The 4,310-nt window shown below is 41.0% G+C and overlaps 1 annotated feature.

The window, feature by feature from the left end:
* Positions 1,617–1,911: an enhancer, noted in NCBI's record as "tiled region #10160; HepG2 Activating DNase matched - State 5:Enh". NCBI's record gives its function as "activates a minimal TATA promoter and a strong SV40 promoter by Sharpr-MPRA in HepG2 cells {active_cell/tissue: HepG2}" and the evidence as "EXISTENCE:reporter gene assay evidence [ECO:0000049][PMID:27701403]".

Genomic DNA, 4,310 nt, shown 5'->3' on the forward strand with positions numbered 1-4,310 from the left:
TAAGTAACAAACCTGCACATTCTGCACATGTACCCCAGAACTTAAAGTATAATAAATTTTTTTAAAAGGAATTTGGTTACTTCTATGGCATACAACAATTTTACATAACAATTATAACTATTAATAACATACACTAAGTCATATCAGAATTATAGGAGTTTCCCATAATTTTGGAACACATACCAATAATATATTTATACAAATATAGCCCAAAGAAAGCCAAACAGCACTTCATATTTGAGAATAGTTTTTGTATGACTTTTATACCAAATAAGTCAAATTTCACCTTTAGATTAGTGTACTCTTATGTTAAATCCAATTCTTAATAAAACCTTATAGATAAATCTACCTAATTTTAATATTTGACGATAAAGTAAGATTCTCATAAACCTTTTATAATCCATTACAAATTTTTGTGAAAGAACAGATAAGTGCTCTAAGAAAAACCTGTTGTGTTCAATTTATGGAAAAACTAAATAATAACCCTTTTACTTTGGCCAATATGTTCATACAGAGAATTTTTTACAAGATTAATTTTTCACAAGCTTTCCACAACTTGTTCAAACTTTCAGCTTTATACTACCTAACTTAAAACAATCCTTTAGCCATCTAAACTAGGCCCAAGAAAACCCACAGTCCATTGCCTTCTTATAATCTCTTACCAAAAACACATTTCACTTTGCATGTAAAACTGTTTCTTTAGTAACCTACTAAAAGTCATTACAATTTTTATTTGTCTGACAAAATATTTGATTAAAGCACTTATTATTTTTAAGCCAATTAATCAGAGCTCTTTCATATATAAACATCACACACAGCACATATAAATACACAGACAGACAGAAGATCCAGTAGTTGTAGGGTTTTTCATTTTCCAGTTTCTTATTTAGATTACTGGTTTCAGGGTGGAGCCCTTGGAGGAACAGGGCCAGGAAAGCATGCAGTTTCTACAGCCTAATAATTAGGCACAACTGGAAGGCAAAAAAATCCCCAAAATTAAAGGTCCTATTTTTCATATTGGATCCTAGATCCCCAAAAGAGAAACACTACAGAACAACGTGCAAAGATTTTACCATGCATTTCATTGCAAAGCAATCCAAAGACAATCAGCACATTCTATGATTAGCCCATCCCCCTGTGAGTCTTATCTCTCACTGTGGGGGTGGGGAGATTTTCATACCTTCTAGGTAGCCAAGAGCATGCTCCTCTGATCCAAACGTACAAAGAGCTGAGTATCTCCCCATAACTGCAATTAGCCACCCCTAAAAGTATATTTCCTACCTAGTCATTACACACCAAAGCTCTCTCACAATGTGAAGTAATATCTGGTACCCCCAGAAGTCAAAAATGTTGGCTAACACAATGCAAAACAGAACAGAGCTTTAGATTTTGAGAGAGATCTATCCACTTTCAGTTCCTGGGGTTTCATGAGGAAAACAGAGGTTTTTCCCAAAACAGGGTCTGTGGCACCTCCTATTTTTCTCAAGGAGTTCCAGGCTGTTAGAGCTTTAATATGTGGTTTTAATTAAGCTGACTTTTAACCACAGTGCTCTCTTTAGAAATCCTTTTAAACCTCTTATTACCCAACATTAGTCATGCCAAATCACCAGTATTTCTGGCTTTTGAACTTTACCAAACATAACCTCCCAGGTGCTCAGAGAAAGGAAAATTCAAGATGGTTCATGGAGGGGAGGAGAATCAACAAATGGTAAAGGTCATGTAGATATCAAACAAGGAGTGACTCATTCCCTAAGCCAGGAATTGAACCCTGAACCCAGGCTGCCATTGGAAACACACAAAGCCTTAGCCACAAAGATTCAGCATTGGGCAGTTTCCACTGCTATTCCCAGAAGGGGCCTAGAGTAGCCAGTTTTGAGCTTGCAATGACTTTTAACTGCTTAGGATAATTTTTAGAGCCAACTATGACATGAATTCCAAAATTCCTGTTCTCTGGATGGTGGAGAGCAAGAGAAAATACTGCCACGTGGTTACAAGGTCAAGCTCCCAAGGACATGAAACAAGATGAGAGGGAAACTTCATCCAGTATTTTTTTTTTCAGAGACCTGCATCAAGGTTTGTAACTGACCAGTTTGCTGGGCTGGCTTGTACAGCAGTCTTATGGGGTCCTAAGCCTGTGTTCAATCCTAAGTTACTCCTCTTTATGACAGGACAATACAGAAAGACAAATTTATAGCACAAAGTACACCAGATTTGCCACTCCACTTAGCACCCAATATCAAACTGGCAAGGCTCAAACTTGCCCCCAGATGGGCCCTGTCAGGTTTAATCCACTGCACTCCAGTGGTGCTCATATGTGTAGGAAAAGAGCCATGGATCTCTTGGCCACACTTGTCTGTAATAGAGCTTCTGCAACATGGAGCTGGGGAGAGATGTGAGATGCCATCTACTATGGTGAATCCATAGCCCAAAGTCAGGAGCTCAGGTAGGGAGGGAGTCCATCTCGTTGACCACATCCACCTGGAGTCAAACTTCAAGGAGGGAAAGGAAGGAGATCATGGATCAGTGCCACATACCCCACCATTCTTACCAATATTTAGTAATAGTCTTGAATAAATGCTTTTCCATTTGCAGTATGCCCTTAGGAGAATTTCCAGAGATTTTATGTGGCTGTTTCTTTTCAATAATTTTCACCAATGATGGTTGTTTTGCTTGGGAGAGGGTCTACAGAGCCCTTCATGCCACCATTCCAGAAGTGCACCTCCAGGGGGCAATGAGTTGGGGCTGGTATAGCACTGTTTTGGCAATGGCTGACTAGTACAACAAGCCTACTTCCTTCTCCTAAACTACCATCTAGCATTCACTGTTTACTCTTTGCTACTCATGGGGTAGATATTGTTTTTAATCCCCATTTTGCACATGATAAAAGTAAAGCTCAGAGAAATTGAGCTTCATCTCACCATCAAAGAGCTGCTAAAGCACAGTGGTAGAACATGAAGCAGAGCACATTTAAGTACATATCCTACTGAAAGAGCCGTGTTATTCACATGTTAGTGTGTGTGTGTGTGTGTGTGTGTGTACATGCTGATATTTATTACATATGAGGAGAGTCACCTTCTTCCTGAATTTGAAGTATTTTTTAAAACATATTATTTGGGGTCATAATGGAGTATGAGTAAATAGTTAAGATATATTGGCCGGGCATGGCAGCTCACACCTATAATCACTTTGGGAGACTGAGGCAGGAGGATTGCTTGAGTCCAGGAGTTCAAGAGCAGCCTGGGCAACATAGCAAGACCCCTATCTACAAAAAATGAAAAAAATTAGCCAGGCATAGTGGCATGTGCCTGTGGTCCTATCTATTAATACTTGGGAGGCTGAGGTGAGAGGATTCCTTGAGCCCAGGAGTTCAAGGTTGCAGTGAGCTGTGATTCCACCACTATACTCCAGCCTGGGTGACAGAGAAAACCCTATCTCAAAACAAACAAAACAAACAAACAAAAAGATCTATCAATTATAATAATAACTTTTCTGCATTTAATTCATAAACAAGAGGCTTCCAAACTTACCTAATAAAATGCACTTATGTCAGGGTCTCTCCCTCTTGACAGATTTGGAGGGAAAATGGGGGCTGCGGGATGTTCTCCTGTCTGAGCCTCCTCTTCATGATGGGAATGCAGTGCTCAGCAAAGCACATCCTGGCCGATGGGAGAAGGGAGGGAGTAGGATAGAATAGCTCTGAGCTCCCTTTCTGCTCCAAAACTTTAAGATTCCATGAGCTAGGATGTCAGTGACTCTTTGCCCTACGGCCTTCGGACCCTAGTTTTCCAGCACCAACTTCAATCAGCTCCAACCACCAGCATCTCATCTCTGTGCCAGAACCTGCAAATGCAGCAGGTCAGACATGCAGAGGGATTCACACTCAACAATGACTGACAGGACCCCGTGTATAAATACCCCAGCTCCCTCCTGCCTCAGGCTCCACATCCAAACCAAGGCAGTGTGAATCCAGAAGTGTTTATGTGAAGCAGAGGAAATGTGACTGAGCAGAAAGCAGGAGCAGAGTTGTGTGAAGCCAGGAAGAGGAGGGCACAGCCAAGGGCAGCCCCTGTCTGGGCAAACTGTGGGGTCAGCAGTGCAGGAAGAGCAGGGGACTCCAGTCGGAGGCTCAAGGGTCAGCTCTTATTACATGACATTCCGAAATACAGATCATCCCTTTTTGTTCATGATCTAAGGTGTGGCAAAGCTCAAAATTGGGGGCACATCATGACCTTTCAAAAGTTACAAGGAACTTTGACACAAAATGGGACCTCGGAGCTGTAGTAACCTCAAGCCAACCCAGCCCTGGCTCT

This window comes from Homo sapiens, chromosome 20 (genome assembly GCF_000001405.40).
Source record: "Homo sapiens chromosome 20, GRCh38.p14 Primary Assembly".
Classification (NCBI taxonomy): domain Eukaryota; kingdom Metazoa; phylum Chordata; class Mammalia; order Primates; family Hominidae; genus Homo; species Homo sapiens.